The sequence below is a fragment of the Homo sapiens genome, chromosome 18 (assembly GCF_000001405.40).
Source record: "Homo sapiens chromosome 18, GRCh38.p14 Primary Assembly".
NCBI classification, from domain to species: Eukaryota; Metazoa; Chordata; class Mammalia; order Primates; family Hominidae; genus Homo; species Homo sapiens.
Window position 1 is genome coordinate 21,732,433 of NC_000018.10, and position 19,320 is coordinate 21,751,752.

Genomic DNA, 19,320 nt, shown 5'->3' on the forward strand with positions numbered 1-19,320 from the left:
GTTGCCCAGTCCAGAGTGCAGTAGCATGATCTAGGCTTACTGCAACCTCCATCTCCTGGGCTTAAATGATCCTTCCACCTCAGCCTCCTGAGTAGCTGGGACCACAGGCATGTGCTACCATGCCTGCCTAGCTTTTTGATTTTTCTGTAGAGATGGGATCTTGCTATTCATGACCAGGCTGGTCATGAATTCCTGGGATCAAGTGATCCTCCCACCTTGGCCTCCCAAAGTGCTGGGATTATAGGCCTTAAAGATTTTTTAAGATTAGGAAACAAACGATTTTTTAAGATTAGTAAACAAAAAGAAGTTAGGAGACAAGAAAAAGCCAAAGCAGCACTGTAAGTTGGATGCCTAATGATTTCCCTTCAAAACGCTCACAAAATATCCCTTGTTTGAGGAGAGGAATGAGTAGAAACACTGTTGTGGTGGAGAAGAACTCTCTGGTGAGGTTTTCTGTACATTATTCTCAAAACACTCTTGTAATAAGCAGATGTTATTGTTTTTTGGCTCTCCAGAAAGTCAACAAGCAAAATCCCTCCAGCATCTCAAAAAACGGTTGCCATGACCTTTGCTTGTGACCGGTCCACTTTTGCTTTGACTGGACCACTTCCACCTCTTGGTAGCCATTGCTTTGATTGTACTTTGTCTTTAGGATCGTACTGGTAAAGTTGTGTTCCATCTCTTTTTGCAGTCCTTTCAGAAAATGCTTCAGGGGCTTGATTCCATTTGTTTAAAATTTCCTTTGAAAGCTCTGCTCTTGTCTGCAGCTGATGTGAGTGAAATAGTTTTGGCACCCATTCAGTAGAGAGTTTGCTTGATTTTAATTTTTCAGTGGAATTATGTAAGCTGAACCAACTGAGATGTTTATAATATTTTTTTGTGGGGGTTCATACTTTCCTACAGCCTTGAACTCCTAGGCTCAAGTGATCATCTCGCCTCAGCCCCTGAAGTAGGTGGGAGCTGGCTACCGGCGTGTGTACCCACACCTGACTAATTTTTATATTCTTTTAAACAGACTGGATCTTACTGTGTTACCCAGGCTGGTCTTGAACTCCTGGCCCCAAGCCATTCTCCTACCTCAGCCTCCCACGTAAGCCTCCTGAGGGAATAAAGGTGTGAGCCACAGCACCTGGCTGGTATTGCCTATTTTTGTGCTGTTAATAGTTGGTCCTCTTCAATTAGGGCATGAACAAGATTAATTTTTCTCTTTACAAATTGAGCTGGAGGGTCTGCTGCTGTAGGCTTTTCTACATCATCTCGTCCTTTCTTTTTTCTTTTTTCTTTTTTTTTGAGATGGAGTTTCGCTCTTGTCACCCAGGCTGGAGTGCAATGGTGCAATCTCGGCTCACTGCAACCTCTGCTTCCCAGGTTCAAGAGATTCTCCTGCCTCAGCCTCCTGAGTAGCTGGGATTATAGGCATGTGCCATCGTGTCCAGCTAATTTTGTATTTTTAGTAGAGACAGGGTTTCTCCATGTTGGTCAGGCTGGTCTCGAACTCCTGACCTCAGATGGGCCCATCTCATCCTTTCTTAAAATGAGTTATCCATTTAAAAACTGCTGATTACTTTGGGGCATTGTCCCCATAAACGTCTCATTAAGCATCATCGATTTCACCATTCTTCCATCTAAGCATCTAAGCCTCACCATAAATATGATATTTGTTCTTGCTTTGATTTTTTTTTTTTTTTTTTTGAGACAGAGTCTCGCTCTTTCACCCAGGCTGGAGTGCAGTGGCACGATTTTGGCTTATTGCAAGCTCCGCCTCCCGGGTTCACTCCATTCTGCTGCCTCAGCCTCCCAAGTAGCTGGGACTACAGGCGCCCGCCACCACGCCCGGCTATTTTTTGGATTTTTATTAGAGACGGGGTTTCACCGTGTTGGCCAGGATGGTCTCAATCTCCTGACCTCGTGATCCACCAACCTCAGCCTCCCAAAGTGCTGGGATTACAGGTGTGAGCCAACGTGCCTGGCTGTTCCTGCTTTGATTTTAACAGAATTCATGTTGCTCTAATAGGGACTCTTTTCTTTTCTTTCTCTCTCTCTCTTTCTCTCTCTCTCTCTCTCTTTCTTTCTTTCTTTCTTGTCTCTCTTTCTCTTTCTCTCTTTCTTTCTTTCTCACAGAGGCTTGCTCTGTCACCCAGGCTGGAGTGCAGTGGCACGATCTCAGCTCACTGCAACCTTTACCTCTCTGGTTCAAGTGATTCTTTTGCCTCAGCCTCCCGAGTAGCTGGGACTACAAGCGCATGCCACCACGCCTGGCTAATTTTTGTATTTTTAGTAGAGACAGGGTTTCACCATGTTGACCAGGCTGGCCTCGAACTCCTGACCTCAAATGATCCATCCGCCTCGGCCTCCCACAGTGCTGGGATTACAGGCATGAGCCACCGCTCCCAGCCAGGGACTCTTTTCAAACTAATGTCTTATCCTTCTTAGTGCTTCAAACTAGATCCTGTTCAGACATGTTATAACAAGTCAATAGGAGTTAATTTTGGTACACAAAAAATGGAACTCCATGCAGTTTTTTCATAATACACATTTTCCATGAACATTTTCAAGTCTCCTTGTGTATTTTCTTTCCTTTTGGGTAAGTACTGAAGAGTGGAATGGCTGGATCATATGGCAGTGTATGATTAAGTGTTGATTTTAAGAACTTGCTGGCTGGCAAGGTGGCCAAATAGGAACAGCTCCCGTCTGCAGCTCCCAGCGAGATGGATGCAGAAGGCAGGTGATTTCTGCATTTCCAACTGAGGTACCTGGTTCATCTCACTGGGACTGGTTGGACAGTGGGTGCAGCCCACGGAGGGCATTGTCTCACTCAGGAAGCACAAGGGGTCAGTGGATCTCCCTCCCCAAGCCAAGGGAAGCTGTGAGAGACTGTACTGGGAGGAACGGGGTACTCCGGATCAGATACTGTGCTTTTCCCACAGTCTTCACAACCAGCAGACCAGGAAATTCCCTCCGGTGCCTACGCCACCAGGGCCCTGGGTTTCAAGCACAAAACTGGGTGGTCATTTGGGCAGATACTGAGCTAGCTGCAAGGGTTTTTTTTTTTTTTCATACCCCGGTGGCATCTGGAACACCAGCAAGACAGAACCGTTCACTCGCCTGGAAAGGGGGCTGAAGCCAGTGAGCCAAGTGGTCTGGCTCAGCGGGTCCCATCCCCACAGAGCCCAGCAAGCTAAGATCCACTGGCTTGAAATTCTCGCTGCTAGCACAGCAGTCTGAGGTTGACCTGAGATGCTCAAGCTTGGTCGGGGGGAGGGGCATCCGCCATTGCTGAGGCTTGCGTAGGCAGTTTTACTCTCACAGTGTAAACAAAGCTGCCGGAAGTTCGAACTGGGTGGAGGCCCTCTGCAACTCAGCAATGACACTGCAGCCAGACTGCCTCTCTAGATTCCTCCTCTCTGGGCAGGGCATCTCTGAAAAAAAGGCAGCAGCCCCAGTCAGGCACTTATAGATAAAACCCCCACCTCCCTGGGACAGAGTATCTGGGGGAAGGGGCAGTTGTGGGTACAGCTTCAGCTTACTTAAACGTCCCTGTCTGACACCTGTGAAGAGAGCAGTGGATCTCCCAGCACAGCGTTCGAGCTCTGATAAGGGACAGACTGCTTCCTCAAGTGGGTCCTTGACCCCCATGTATCCTAACAGGGAGACACCTCCCAGTAGGGGCCGACAGACACCTCATACAGGAGAGCACTGGCTGGCATCTGGCAGGTGCCCCTCTGGGATGGAGCTTCCAGAGGAAGGAACAGACAGCAATCTTTGCTGTTCTGCAGCCTCTGCTGGTGATACCCAGGCAAACAGGGTATGGAGTGGACCTCCAGCAAATGCCAGCAGACCTGCAGCAGAGGTTCCTGACTGTTAGAAGGAAAACTAACAAACAGAAAGGAATAGTATCAACATCAACAAAAAGGACGTCATCCGAAGGTCACCAACATCAAAGACGAAAGGTAGATAAATTCACAGAGATGGGGAGAAACCAGCACAAAAAGGCTGAAAATTCCAAAAACCAGAATGCCTCGTCTCCTTCAAAGGATCACAACTCCTCGCCAGCAAGGGAACAAAACTGGATGGAGAATGAGTTTGACGAATTGACAGAAGTAGGCTTCAGAAGGTCAGTAATAACAAACTCCTCCAAGCTAAAGGAGCATGTTCTAACCCAATGCAAGGAAGCTAGGAAACTTGAAAAAAGGTTAGATGAATTGCTAACTAGAAAAACCAATTTAGAGAAGAACATAAATGACCTGATGGAGCTGAAAAACACAGCACAAGAACTTGGTGAAGCATACACAAGTATCAATAGCTGAATCGATCAAGTGGAAGATGGGATATCAGAGACTGAAGATCAACTCAATGAAATAAAGTGAGAAGACAAGATTAGAGAAAAAAGAGTGAAAAGAAAAGAACAAAGCCTCCAAGAAATATGGGACTATGTAAAAAGACCAAATATATGTTTGATTGGTGTACCTGAAAGTGACGGGGAGAATGGAACCAAGTTGGAAAACACTCTTCAGGATATCATCCAGGAGAACTTCCCCAACCTAGTAAGGCAGGCCAACATTCAAATTCAGGAAATACAGAGAACACCACAAAGATACTCCTCGAGAAGAGCAACCCTAAGACACATAATCATCAGATTCACCAAGCTTGAAATGAGGAAAAAATGTTAAGGGCAGCCAGAGAGAAAGGTCGGGTTACCCACAAAGGAATCCCATTAGAAGGGGAAGTCCATTAGACTAACAGCGGATCTCTCGGCAAAAACCCTACAAGCCAGAAGAGAGTGGGGGCCAATATTCAACATTCTTAAAGAAAAGAATTTTCAACCCACAATTTCATATCCAGCCAAACTAACCTTCATAAGCAAAGGAGAAATAAAATCATTTTCAGACAAGCAAATGCTGAGAGATTTTGTCACCACCAGGCCTGCCTTATAAGAGCTGAAGGAAGCACTAAACATGGAAAGGAACAGCCAGTACCAGCCACTGAAAAACATGCCAAATTTTAAAGACCATCGACGCTATGAAGAAACTGCATCAGCTAATGGGCAAAATAACCAGCTAGCATCATAATGACAGGATCAAATTCACACATACCAATATTAAACTTAAATGTAAACAGGTTAAGTGCCCCAATTAAAAGACACACACTGGCAAATTGGATAAAGAGTCAAGACCCATTGGTGTGCTGTATTCAGGAGACCCATCTCATGTACAAAGACACACATAGGCTCAAAATAAAGGGATGGAGGAATATTTACCAAGCAGATAGAAAGCAAAAAAAGGCAAGGGTTGCAATCCTAGTCTCTGATGAAACAGACTTTAAACCAACAAAGATCAAAAGAGATAAAGAAGGGCATTACATAATGGTAAAGGGATCAATGCAACAAGAAGAGCTAACTATCCTAAATATATATGCACCCAATACGGGAGCACCCAGATTCATAAAGCAAGTTCTTAGAGACCTACAAAGAGACTTAGACTCCCACACAATAATAGTGGGAGACTTTAACACCCCACTGTCACTATTGGACAGATCAACAAGACAAAATTAACAAGGATATCCAGGACTGGAACTCAGCTCTGGACCAAGCAGACCTAATAGACATTTACAGAACTCTCCACCCCAAATCAATAGAATATACATTCTTCTCAGCACCACATCGCACTTATTCTAAAATTCTAATATTGTTATGTGTGAATTTGAACCTGTCATTATGAGGCTAGCTGGTTATTCTGCATAATTGGAAGTAAAACACTCCTCAGCAAATGCAAAAGAATGGAAATCATAACAAACAGTCTCTCAGACCATAGTGCAATCAAATTAGAACTCAGGATTAAGAAACTCACTCAAAACCTCACAGCTACATGGAAACTGAAAAACCTGTTCCTGAATGACTACTGGGTAAATAAGGAAATTAAGGCAGAAGTAAAGATGTTCTTTGAAACCAGTGAGAACAAAGACACAATGTACCAGAATCTCTGGGACTCATTTAAAGCAGTGTGTAGAGGGAAATTTATAGCACTAAATGCCCACAGAGAAAGCAGGAAAGATCTAAAATCAACATTCTAGCATCACAATTAAAATAACTAGAGAGGCTGGGCACGGTGGCTCACGCCTGTAATCCCAGCACTTTGGGAGGCCGAGGCGGGCGGATCACGAGGTCAGAAGATGGAGACCATCCTGGCTAGAATGGTGAAACTCCATCTCTACTAAAAATACAACAAATTAGCTGGGCATGGTGGCAGGCACCTGTGGTCCCAGGTACTCGGGAGGCTGAGTCAGGAGAATGGCGTGAACCCGGGAGATGGAGCTTGCAGTGAGCTGAGATCACACCACTGCACTCCAGCCTGGGCCACAAAGTGAGACTCCATCTCAAAAAAAAAAAAAAAAAAAAAAAAAAAAAAAAAAAAAAAAAAAAAAAAAAAAAAAAAAAAACCAACAAAACTAGAGAAGCAAGAGCAAACAAATTCAAAAGCTAGCAGAAGACAAGAAATAACTAAGATCAGAGCAGAACTGAAGGAGGTAGAGACACGAAAAACCCTTCAAAAAAATTAATGAATCCAGGAGCTGTTTTTTTGAAAAAGATCAACTACATAGATAGACCACTAGCCAGACTAATGCAGAAGAAGAGAGAAGAATCAAATAGATGCAATAAAAAATTATAAAGGGGATATCACCAACAATCCCACAGAAATACAAACTACCATCAGAGAATACTATAAAAACTTCTACGCAAATAAACTAGAAAATCTAGAAGAAATGGATAAATTCCTGGACACATACACTCTCCCAAGACTAAACCAGGAAGAAGTCGAATCCCTAAACAGACCAATAACAAGTTCTGAAATTGAGGCAATAAGTAATAGCCTACCAACCAAAAGAAGTCCAGGACCAGACAGATTCACAGCCGAATTCTACCAGAGGTACAAAGAGGAGCTGTTACTGTACTTCCTAAAACTATTCCAAACAACAGAAAAAGAGGGAATCCTCCCTCCTTCGTAAAACTCATTTTACGAGGCCAGCATCATCCTGATACCAAAACCTGGCACAGACACAACAAAAAAAGAAAATTTCAGGCCAATATCCCTGATGAACATCGATGCGAAAATCTTCAATAAAATACTAGCAAACAGAAGCCAGTAGCACATCAAAAAGCTTATCCACCACTATCAAGTTGGCTTTATCCCTGGGATAAACACTTTGGGAGGCTGAGGTGGGAGGATTGCTTGAGCTCAGGAGTTCGAGACCAGTCCGGCCAGGGAAAATAGTGAGATATATCCCCCAAGAAGCTCCCCACTGCCCCCCCGCTCATCTCTGCCAAAAATACAAAAAATTAGCTGGGCGTGGTTGTGCGTTCCTGAGGTCCCAGCTACTCAGAAGGCTGAGGTGGGCGGACCCCTTGAACCCAGGAGGCGGAGGTTGCGGGGAACGGAGATGGCGCCACTGCACTCCGGCCTGGCTGACAGTGAGACCCTGTCTCAAAAACAAAGCAAAAAAAAAAACAACAACAAAAAAAACCAAACAAAAAAAATTTTATTTCAGTACATAGTAATTCCTTGGGTACATTTTACGTCCGTTTTCTTGTCTTTTCCCTTGATTATCCATTCTGTTAGCATTTCCCTCCTTTGACTATCAGGAAAAGCAACAGTTTATGCTAACAATGCATGCTAACGGTGCCAACAGTGCTGGCCTGTGGAAACACTGGTTTTAAACCCTATGCAGCATAATGTCATTTGAATAACGGCAACCAGAAACTTCTCTTACAGTCTTCGAATCTTCCTTTGAAGGTTGTATTTTGTAATTAGGGACTGAATTTTTTCGTGAGTGGAGGCAATTATTAATGAGCAAAGTTTGGAGTCTGCCTATCACCCTAATTCTGCATAAAGTCAAGACACACCTTCTAAAAGTCTTTACCGTTGCTCACAACATTCCATACCATGCTGTTCAGCTTAAAAACACACTACTAACCTGCTCTGTCTGGTTTGAAATGTTTTCAATTTACACACAAATACAGATCGCCCTGAATTTGTGAATGTATTTCTACCTTCGTTAAAAAAGAAGACTAAAAGAATATGGAATCCCTAATTCACATTTAGTTCGCCTAGGAAAACTAGCAGTTAGTGAAAAACTGGCCACATCACAGCCGCACAGCTCCAGCAGCCCGGGTAGCTTCCCCACCCTCACTTTCTCCAGCCCCGCCTCCAGGACGGCCTAACCGCTTTCCTCATAGCTCATTGGGCGCGCGGCACCACCGGGCGGCAACTCCAGGGATCCGCCCCTGGGCCCGCCCCTCCATCGCCCGGGGCTGGGGTTGGGCAACCGTCCGCCCTTTTTCTAGACCGCGCGCATGCGCACTCTCCTTGGACCCTGGAGAGACGCTTAGGGATCAGTTTTCTCCTCCTTTCTTCCCGCGATCGCGCGGCTCTCTGGAAGCCTTCCCACTCTATTATTGCCGAGGATCCCCCTCCTAGACACTCTGAGAAGGTGCCGCTCCGGCCTTGGGTACGGCGGTACCCGGATGTGGAGTCGCTCTCGCCCGGCTGGGACTCTGTGGCGGGGCGGAGCGCGGCGGCTGGTGCGGGGGCAGAGAGAAGGGGGCCTGAGGGCCCGGGCGCTCGCCGGACGCCGGGAGGTACCACCGCTGCCCACGGGGGAGGAGGCGGCGCCGGCGCTTGGGTGCCCGCCCCCGAGCGAGGGGCCGGGGTGGCAGAAAGGCCGGCAGTTAAGCTTGCTCCCCGCCGCCCCCCTCGGGCTAGCCTCCCCCGGCCCCCTGCGCTCCTCGCGCTGCCGGCCGGGGGAGAGCGTGGTTTCCTTGCGGCCGTCGCTGTAGCCTGGCCGGGGAGCCCGGAGGAAGCGGGAGAGTCCCCGCCCACGGCCCCCTCCCCTCTGCCCGCTCTCCGCCGCCGCCTCCGAGCAGCCGCGGGCCGCCCTCCACTCCGAGCGGGGGGCGCGGCGGCGACAGCTGGGCAGCGGCTTTGGGCTCCGCGGGGACCGCGCCGCCGCCCCCGTGAGTTATTCTCACGTCCCCCGGGGCTCGCTGCCGCCCCCGCCGACGCCTAGAGTCCGGCCCGGGCCCAACTCCCTCACGGGCCCCCCGGCGGCAGCGGCGGCGGCGGCGGCGGCAGCGGCGGAGCCCACCGCCCGGGCCCCGATGAGTAACTCCCGGAATAACCGGGTGATGGTGGAAGGGGTTGGCGCTCGGGTAGTGCGCGGCCCGGACTGGAAGTGGGGGAAGCAGGACGGCGGCGAGGGCCATGTGGGCACCGTCCGGAGCTTCGAGAGCCCCGAGGAGGTGGTGGTAGTGTGGGACAACGGCACAGCTGCCAACTACCGCTGCTCCGGGGCTTACGACCTCCGCATCCTGGACAGCGCGCCCACCGGTAAGCCGCGGCCACCTGGCCAGGGCTTGCGCGCGCGGGGGGAAGGGGCGAGCTGCGGTGGGCGTCGGTGTCGCGGGGAGAGGTCTGCAGTGGGACACCTGGTGGGCAGCGCCCGGCTGGAGCGAGCGGAAAGGCAAAGCGCCAAAGGAATTCTAGGTTCCGAACGGGTGAACAAACACTTTCAGAAAAGACCCTCTACCCCCAAGGGAAATGATGGCAGCACCATCACCGGGATGCTTTCAAGCCTGGAAGACACAAAGCACCGGGAAGAGAACAGACACAGGTCCCCCAACCCGACTCCTCCTCTTGGGAAGGGGTCTGGAGAGGCCTATCTAATAAGCCATTGAAATTAATCAGCCACCAAGTGATAACTGTCTGAAGGGAGGCTTGCTTTGCCATATGGTGCTCAGCTGACCGTTTATAATTGCCAAGGGGCCTTGGTACCTCGGATTTGTGGAGATGCCTTTTTTTTTTTTTTTTTTAACCTCCTGTGACACAGAATTACTTGGAGTTCAGTAGCCAAATGTTACTTGGGACTCTGGAATGATTTTTCATCCAAATTGTTCTATTTTATATCTTTATATCAATAGAGAGAAAAACATCCTGAGCTCTTGAACCATTTCTTTGTGTTAAATACTTTTTCCAAGTGGCAGATCGGCGTGGGGGACACCTGATGTTATTTTTTGTTACACTAACGTCCGTCTCAGTAAGGTGATGTCAGAATCTTACTCATTCACCCAGCAGTGAGTCAGGGTCCTTGATTAGTGAATCTTGATTAGTGAATTTTAGGGGTCTGTTATTGACGCTAGAGTTTCTAAATGATTAAACCAAAGGCTTGCTTTCACAAAATAAATAACAAATTCATTTTCATATAGATTCATCTTTGGTATTATTTATCCTTGATATTTATCCTTGATTCTGTAGAAAATAGTTCACATTTAAAATTGGGTACTTTTCAGAATTCCTAAATGAGCTACTTCTAAGACATTGAGTTTGGCAAAGCCTTACAAATCTTGGAATGGGCTCACAGTTATTATCAGTAGCAATAAAGAAATTAACACAAGCCAACTCAGTTTTTGAACAGATAATTCGTAAAATTGTGTTCCTTAGCTGGCTTTTTAAAAACATTTATTAAAAAAAATTTTTGTTTTAGAGACAGTTGTCTCGTTTTATTTCTCCGGCTGGTCTGGAACTCCTGGCCTCAAGCAACCCTCCTGTCTCAGCCTCCCAAAATGCTGGGATTACAGGAGTCAGCCACAAGGCCAGGCTTCAGATAGCTTTTTGAATATTAAAAAGGGTGTATGTACATGACTAGAAGAAAATGAAAAGATTCAACAGCACAAAAAGGGGCAGCCATTGTTACCAGTTTTTTGTGTAGTCTTGCAGAATACTCTATTGCATGGCAAGCATGTGTGTGACTATACTATAAATCTAATCCCCTTTTAAGTGCAAATGATAATAAACTATATTCACTCCTCTGCACTTTCGTTTCTTTCACTAAATTATATTGGTGATTGTTCCATTGTTTCATGGCTGCATAGTATTCCAGTGATTGGATACGGTGATTTATCTAACCAGGACTTTATCGATGGGCGTTTTATTATTTCATGTTTTCTTTACAATGATGCAGTGAATATATCCTTGTACATATATCCTTGTGTATATGTGTTGAGTATTTCTGAAGAAGTGGAATTGCTGCATCAAAACATTGCACATATTTAACATTTTGGTAGATGTTGACTAATTGCTTTTTGAAGACGTTTTGTGAGTTGAAACTGCCAGCAACAGTGTTTGAGGCCTATGCCTAATTTCTGCCTACTCTTTTTTTTTTTGAGACAGGGTTTTGTTTTGTTACCTGCAGCCTTGAAGTTTTGTTGTCGTGCTAGCTCAAGCTAAAGTCTGACCACAACCCTTATTTGGAGGAATTCTTGGTATCAGTAATTGTAGCTTTATGAGGAAATTTAAGTATCTAGGGTAAAGTGTAACAGATTCTTTACTACGGTGATTTTTGAAGGGACATTAATGTTATCTATATGTTTGTAGTATGGGGTGTATCTATCATATTAATAGTTTTATTATCTTAATATAAACGTAGATGTTTTTCAGAAGTAACTGTTTTAGAATCTTAGTTTAATAAGATAATTTTATACATTAATTTGTTATATGTAGTGGTTTATCTTGTTCATTTGGTCTTTTAACAAACATTTTAAGAGCAGGATAGCCAACCTTCATATGAAATACTTGTTGAAATATATTTTAATTTCAACCTTTTAAATTCTTCAGGGTTTTTTTTTTTTTTTTTTTTTTAGAACTGAGCAAAATTGTAAGCTCCTGGCTCTTGTTTTGCCCCAGGACTATAATACTACTTTCAGTGTTTTCCTTTTTCTTCAAAATATTTAATAATCAGTGTTCACTGACATTTTATTACATTCTATAAGATTACTCAATATTTATTAAGTACTTGATATTTATTTGCATAATATTAACATTTTAAAAATTAACTTTTGTTTTTGAAACAATTGTAGTCTTCCAGAAAAATTACAAAACTAGTAAGAGTTGCCTTTTGCCCTTTACCCACCTTCTTCAGCTGTTAATATCTTAGCAAGTACAATGATCAAAACCAGAAAATTAACACTAATACGGTAATACTGTATTAACTAATCTATACACCTTATTCAAATTTTATTTATTCAAATTATATGCAGTGGTTATTATTAGTGTCCTACTAGTATTCTTTTTCTCATCCAAGATCACACGTTGCATTTAGTGGTCTCTTCCAATCTGGGTGAGTTCCTCAGTCTTTAGTCAGTGTCAAAGTAATGAAAAACAATCTTGTTATCTCTCAAATTGGGTGTTTCTGCTGCTTTTTCATGATTAAATTCAGATTATGTATTTTCGGCAAGAATATCATAGAAATGATGTTTTGCCCTTGTTAGTGCATCGTACCAGGAGGTACATGGTGTTCGTATGTCTCATTAATTATAGCGTTAACTCGGCTAGGTCACCAGGAATTTTACCAACTGTTGCTTTTGTACCAGCAATGTGATGCCAGTATGAAAAAGATAACTTGTATCTTACATATTATTGTGAAAATACTTTTGACTTCATGAAGTCCCTCAAAGGGTCTTGAGGATTTCCCTAGAGGTTGAAGAATAACACTTTAAAAGTCACTGCCCTGGAGAGAATCTCTATTTGAGCACATAGAAGCTTGTATAAGAATGTTCACAGCAGTTACTATGGTTTTGAGATAAATAAAATTTAAAAAAGAATGTTCACAGCAGTGTTGCATGTAAAAACAGAAAATTGGAAAAAACTTAAATGTACCTTAGCAGGAGACTGGATAAGTTGTATGAATTTGTATAGTGCAGTACTGTATAGAAGAGAATGTTAAGCAAATAAAGTAAGTTGCAAAAGAAAACCTACGGTCTGTTAAAGTGCGGAACAAAACTATTTTAGGGTAGGGTTTTGCAGCCTTGGCACTATTGACATTTTGAATTGGATAGGATAATTTTTTGTTATAGGAATGTCCTGTGCATTGTAGGCAGGCATCCCTGGCCTCTACCCATTAGCAGCAGTAGCACCCCACCTCCTTGTGGCAACCCACAATATCTCCAGACATTGCCAGATGTCCCCTAGTGGGGGCAAAATTGCTCCCAATTGAGACTCATTGGTTTAGGGATATGTACATGCGTGGTAAAAGTATGCCACGTAAAGGTAAGATAAACACTAAATTTAAGAGAGTGGGACATCCTTATGGTGAAGGGAGTGGAGAGCACGATTGGTGGAAGTACACCAGGGGCATTTAAGTATTTTGGTAATGTTCTGTGATTAAACCTACCCCATGGTGAGTGCATAGGTGTTAAACACACACACACACACACACACACACACACACACAAAATTTTATTTTTTTTGAGACAGTCTCCCTCTGTGGTCCAGGCTGGAATGCAGTGGTGTGACCTCGGCTCACTGCAACCTCCGTCCCCCAGGTTCAAGCAATTCTCCTGTCTCATCCTCCTGAGTAGCTGGAATTACAGGCATGCACCACCACACCTGACTAACTTTTGTATTTTTGGTAGAGACGGGGTTTCACCATGTTGGCCAGGCTGGTCTCGAACACCTGACCTCAAGTGATCCATAGCCTCAGCCTCCCAAAGTGCTGGGATTACAAGTGTGAGCCACCACACCCAGCCCTTTCTATATTTTTGTGTGTGTCATATTTTTGTACTTAATTTAAAAAAAAGCCTTATATTTATCAGAGGGAGAACTGAGGTTGCCTTTGATTATTCATCATTTGTTCCCTAGTTCCACCTATATTATATGAATAGAAAATTTATTGCAGTATGATTGGGAATTAAGAAATGGGTAACCTTCAGCATAAGATTCCTTGCAACTTTTCTGGGAGTTAAGGATTCTGGAGTGGTTGGATCATTGTGAATCTTTCTGATACGATTTTTCTCACTACATTTTGAAGATTTTGTCTGGGAGTTGTATGCGGGTCTCTAATATTTTGGCATATCAGCTTTATTTTTTCTTTCAGGACACACATGATATGTTTGAATTTATGGTCTAGGATAGTTAAACTTTGCAGAGAGGAGCATTTAGTATCTGTTTGAGTGATATAACGTCTGTCTTGTTTCGAGATTCATTTGGCTCATTTGTAGTGAGCAAGAAGATTTTGGGACTATATGGGATGTTATTTAATTAGTTTGGACTAATTTTGTAAAGTCTGTAGTCAAGTAGGTATAGTTGACTTTTTATCATCTAGGCACTGATTTTATAGGAGTTGGAGAAAAATGTGTTTTTATTTATGCTTGCTTTGTGTTCACTTGACTACAGTGTTGTATTGTTACCAGAGATAATGGAGAAAATGAATGTAGATTTCCTGTTAAGGTTCTGTCATTCTTCGTGTCGATAATACAGAGTTAGAGGTATAGAAAATCAGCTTTATTCAAAACCAGCTTCTGGTCATAGTTCATTCAAACTGTTTTGGGGGTAGTTCTTTGTCCTTGTCTTTGACCGCTAGCAAAGAATGCCTCTCCAGTCATACGTGGAAAAACTTCTCAGATGTTTTGTATTCAGTTGAAGGTTTAAAAGGGCTGACCCTGGATTAAAAAAATGAAATGAATTAATAATCCTCAGCTTTTCTTTATCAGAATAGAGTCCCCTATTCTGATCTGTTTCTAGAACCACAGTAGAAAGGGGTATTTGTCAGGACACAAAGCCGTAGGAAAAAACAGGATTTGAGGGAACAATGTTTGGGGAGCAGGATGCCACACCTGGAAAGGATGAAATATCACAAAATGTTTTTTATTAATGACATCTGCAAGGAAAACTTTATTTCCTCATAGATCCTACCTATTTTAAAGGCTTCTGTAAAATGTCTTTCTTATTTTATTTCCTCCACTAAAACAATGTTGTAAATTATGAAAGTCTATCTAGTTCTTAATAGTCCCTGTAGATTGCAGCTTGGTTGAGCTGAGGACTTCAAGAAATCAACTAGTAGACCCCTGTGTCAGTACTTCTCAAACTTAAAGCACACAGATCACCTGGGGACCTTTTAAAATGCAGATTCTGGTTCAGTAAGTTTGGGATTCTGCGAGAGTATTTCTAATAAGCTCATAGGTGATGCAGATACTGCAGGCTCAAGGACACACTTTGAATAGCAGAGTACTAAGTGACTATTTGTCTACTTGAGATGCCCTGCGTTTCTGTTTTCTCCTTTTCCTTTCAACAGATTCCAAGCCTTGATTGTTTGTTGGTAATACATGTCTTTAAAACTAGATTGGCATTATTAGTTGGGGAGAAGAGAAGTGTGTACAACTGAAATAAAGGAGCATGTAACACCTTTCTAATATATGTACTTTTTGTAAGTGTAATGCTATCTTAATGTGTATTTTCGATCCTATACTTTCCAGCCTGTCCCTCTGATTAGATTAGCTATTTCTTTTTGAATGTGTTCCCAGGTAGCCACCCACCAGGGTCTCTCCTCCACCCTCTATAATTGCTAGCTAGTGTGATATCCCCACATGTGTGCTTTCATCTGTTAAAGCAGGGTATGCTGTGTTGTAATTGTCTTTTGCACTAGATTATTAGTTTAAGGGAAAGGGTCTGTGTTATTCTTGTATCTCCATTTTCTAGCAGAACCATGTCTCTGGATGAGTATTTTCTGAATCAGACACACTTTTCAAAGAGCTTTTGACTCATTGGATCAGAGATTAGATAGATATTATCCTAAAACAAGATAAAAGGAAACTCAGATTCAGAGAGATTAAGAAATTTGTCCAGTCACAAAGCTGGTGAGTGGCAGATAGTAGGGATGAATGCCAGTTGATTGCTTTTCCTCAGTATCATTCTCTTTTTCTTTTATAGTATAGTGGTTCAGAAACATGACCACCTGTAACACTTTGCTTGTGGGAAAATTGATAATGAAATGTAAACCAATTTAGAAATGAAACTTTGTGATACATCCTGTTGTAAATTGTTCAGTGCTCTTTTCAAAACCATTCTTTTTTTGCTTTGCTTTGCTTTTCTTCCTCTCTCCCTCCCTCCCTCCCTCTCTCCCCCCTCCCTCTCTCCCCCCTCCCTCTCTCCCTCTCTCCCTCTTTCCCCCCTTCTCCCTTTCTCTTCTTTCTTTCTGGAGTTTCACTCTTGTCCCCCAGGCCAGAGTGCAGTGGTGCAGTCTTGGCTCACTGCAACCTCTGCCTCCTGGGCTCAAGCCATCTTCCCACCTCAGCCTTTTGAGTAGCTGGGACTACAGGTGCGCACCACCATGCACAGCTAATTTGTGTATTTTTTTGTAGAGATAGGGTCCTGCCGTGTTGCCCAGGTTGGTCTTGAACTTGTGAGGTCAAGTGATCCATCTGCCTTGGCCTCCCAAAGTGCTGGGATTACAGCTGTGAGCCATCATGCCCAGCCTTTTTTTTTTTTTTTTTTTTTTTAAAGAGTTTCACTCTGTTGCCCAGGCTGGAGAGCAGTGGTGTGATTATAGCTCATTGCAACCTCGAATTCTTGGGCTCAGGTGATCCGCCTACCTCAGCCTCCCGAGTAGCTAGGACTATAGGTGCACACCACCAAGCCTGGCTAATTTTTTTTTATTTTTTATTTTTCTTAGAGTTGAGGTCTTGCTGTATCACCCAGGCTGGTCTCAAACTCTTGGCCTCAAGTGATCCTTCAACCTCAGCATCCCAGATTGCCTGGATTACAGGCATGAGCCACTGAGCCCTGCTTGTTTCTTTCTAGTGTGTCTTTTTTGCACAGCTAAGGTTTTACTGTATACATAGTTTGTTTCATTCTTTTTTTTCCACTTGACGTGTGTTTTCTGTATTCCTTATAAATAATCTAATATGTACTTCCTATATGGTAAAATAAGGTGACATTTATGTCTTAACTACTTAGAGAGAAATATATATGTATTTCCATATAGGTATGCCATATGTACTGTTCTTCAGCTTTCTTTTTAAATGAATATTGTCTTGGACATCTTGCAGTGTTAGCACATAAGAATCTGTCTTATTCTTTTTGGTCGGTACATAGTATTTAATAGTTAAAAAATATATTACTTAACTATTCTTTTGATAGACATTTATAGTGTTTTCTTTTTTGTCATTTTAAACAACACTGCAACAAGTATCTTTGTGTATACATACCTTTGTGTACTAATTTTTAGCTTTTAAATTAATTTGTTACAGGAATTTCTGTTATAAATGACATGGCTAAATATTGTCCTCACTGACTTTGAGAACATTTGTCTTTTAATAGAGGAATTTAACTTGTTCATATGTATTGTGACAACTGATACATTTTTTCTAATTACTGCTACCTTACTCTTTTTTTTTTTTTTTTGAAATGGAGTTTTCCTTTTATTGCCCAGGCTGGAGTACAATGGCGCGATCTTGGCTCATCAAAACCTCTGCCTCCCAGGTTCAAGTGGTTCTCCTGCCTCAGCCTCCCAAGTAGCTGAGATTACAGGCATGCCCCACCATTCCCGGCTAATTTTTTGTATTTTCAGTAGAGACCGTGTTTCCCCATGTTGGTCAGGCTGGTCTCGAACTCCCGACCTCAGGTGATCCACCCACCTCAGCTTTCCAAAGTGCTGGGATTACAGGCATGAGCCATCACACCTGGCTGCTACCTTACTTTTTAACTTTCCAGTTTTCTTGTATTTTTTTTTTTAACCAGTGAGTTAGAAATTTTATCACCTTTTTTTCTGCTCTGCTAATTATTACCTTTTAATATTTAACAAACAGATTGAAAAATTAGGTTTTTTTTGCATGTAGAAAAACTAAACAGTCTCTTTAATTACTCCTGCCCATACTTCTTTCTTTATTTTTTTGAGGTGGAGTCTCACTCTGTTGCCCAGGCTGGAGTGCAATGGCATGATCTCAGCTCACTGCAACCTCTACCTCCTGGGTGCAAGCAATTCTCCTACTGGGTGCAAGCGATTCTCCTACCTCAGCCTCCTGAGTAGCTGGGATTACAGGCGGGTGCCACCATGTCCAGCTAATTTTTGTATTTTATTTTTATTTTTTTTGAGACGGAGTCTCGCTCTGTCGTCCAGGCTAGAGTGCAGTGGCAAGATCTCAGTTCACTGCAAGCTCCGCCTCTCGGGTTCATGCCATTCTGCTGCCTCAGCCTCCTGAGTAGCTGGGATTACAGGCGCATGCCACCATGCCCCGCTAACTTTTCATATTTTTAGTAGAGACGGGGTTTCACCGTGTTAGCCATGATGGTCTCCATCTCCTGATCTTGTGATCCGCCCGCCTCGGCCTCCCAAAGTGCTGGGATTACAGGCGTAAGCCACCACGCTCGGCCTAATTTTTTGTATTTTTAGTAGAGATGGGGTTTCACCATGTTGGCCAGACTGGTCTGGAACTCCTGACCTCAGGTGATCCACCCGCCTCAGCCTCCCAAAGTCCTGCGATTACAGGCGTGAGCCACTGCGCCCGGCCATCTCCTGCCCCACACCTCTTACCTTTTTCATTGTGTTGGTTTTATGTAAATTTTCAGGAAAATTAGTCCCAAATTTTTGTTTGCATTGTCCTTTCTCCCCAACCATACTCCTGTAAATATATGCTTCTTTTTATGTTGTAAGATTTGCTCAGCTGGGCACAGTGGCTGACGCCTGTAATCCTAGCACTTTGGGAGGCTGAGGCAGGCAGGTTGCTTGAGCCCAGGGATTTGAGACCAGCCTGGACAACATGGCAAAACCCCATCTCTACAAAAAAATATAAAAATTAGCCCACCATGGTGGTGTGTGCCTGTAGCCCCAGCTATTTGTTGGTGAGGCTGAGGCAGGAGGATCAGTTGAGCCTGGGAGGCAGAGGTTGCAGTGAGCTGAGATCATGTTACTGCACTCCAGCCTGGGTGACAGAATGAGACCCAGTCTCAAACAGAGGGGAAAAAAAAAGAAAAGAAAAAGATTGGCTCATAAAATTGCATTAAACGTCACAGTTATTATTATTATTTTATTTATTTATTTATTTTGAGACATAGTCTCTGTTGCCCAGGCTGGGGTGCAGTGGCACGATCTTGGCTCACTGCAGCCAAGTGATTCTCCTGCCTCAACCCTGCAAGTAGCTGTAACTACAGGTGTGCATCACCATGCCCAGCAAATTTTTGTATTTTTAGTAGAGATGGGGTTTCACCATGTTGGCCAGGCTGGTCTCTGGAGCTCCTGACCTCAAGTGATCATCCACCTCTGCCTCCCAAAGTGCTGGGATTACAGGCGTGACCTGCCACACCCAGCTCACAGTTATATTATTAATAATTAATTGGATTTAAAATTGTAGTTCTTTCTTATTACTGCTGCTTATACTATATCTCATGTCATTCCCTTCTCATTTTATTGGGGGAAAAATCCTTTCCCCTTCCTTTCTTTCTTCCCTTTTCTTCCCTTCTTTTCTTTCTTTCTAGTAGTTTGAGTCCTTGCAGGCCTGAA

The 19,320-nt window shown here is 43.6% G+C and overlaps 1 protein-coding gene across 5 annotated transcripts in view, besides 4 other annotated features; it reads left to right on the top strand.

The window, feature by feature from the left end:
* The window catches only part of MIB1 (MIB E3 ubiquitin protein ligase 1), a 166,038-nt gene that overhangs the window by 27,517 nt on the left and 119,201 nt on the right, over window positions 1-19,320 (top strand). For 4 of the 5 annotated variants that reach the window (XR_007066203.1, NM_020774.4, XM_017025874.2 and 1 more), the window contains exon 1: window positions 8,360-9,380. The exons of the other annotated variant lie outside the window; for it this stretch is intronic. Coding sequence is in view for 3 of the 4 variants with exons in the window: in NM_020774.4 (NP_065825.1) it covers window positions 9,152-9,380 (229 nt within the window). In the remaining variant the exon portion in view is untranslated. Of the gene's footprint in view, window positions 1-8,359; window positions 9,381-19,320 lie in introns of those variants that run through there. 5 annotated transcript variants of the gene reach the window in all.
* Window positions 8,147-8,366: a silencer, noted in NCBI's record as "silent region_9343". NCBI's record gives its function as "represses an Ori minimal core promoter by ATAC-STARR-seq in GM12878 lymphoblastoid cells {active_cell/tissue: GM12878}" and the evidence as "EXISTENCE:reporter gene assay evidence [ECO:0000049][PMID:35858748]".
* Window positions 8,557-9,186: a silencer, noted in NCBI's record as "silent region_9344". NCBI's record gives its function as "represses an Ori minimal core promoter by ATAC-STARR-seq in GM12878 lymphoblastoid cells {active_cell/tissue: GM12878}" and the evidence as "EXISTENCE:reporter gene assay evidence [ECO:0000049][PMID:35858748]".
* Window positions 9,307-9,356: a silencer, noted in NCBI's record as "silent region_9345". NCBI's record gives its function as "represses an Ori minimal core promoter by ATAC-STARR-seq in GM12878 lymphoblastoid cells {active_cell/tissue: GM12878}" and the evidence as "EXISTENCE:reporter gene assay evidence [ECO:0000049][PMID:35858748]".
* Window positions 18,156-18,656: an enhancer, noted in NCBI's record as "H3K4me1 hESC enhancer chr18:19330549-19331049 (GRCh37/hg19 assembly coordinates)". NCBI's record gives its function as "activates a minimal SCP1, AML or CMV promoter by ChIP-STARR-seq in naive H9 embryonic stem cells {active_cell/tissue: H9 hESC(naive)}" and the evidence as "EXISTENCE:reporter gene assay evidence [ECO:0000049][PMID:30033119]".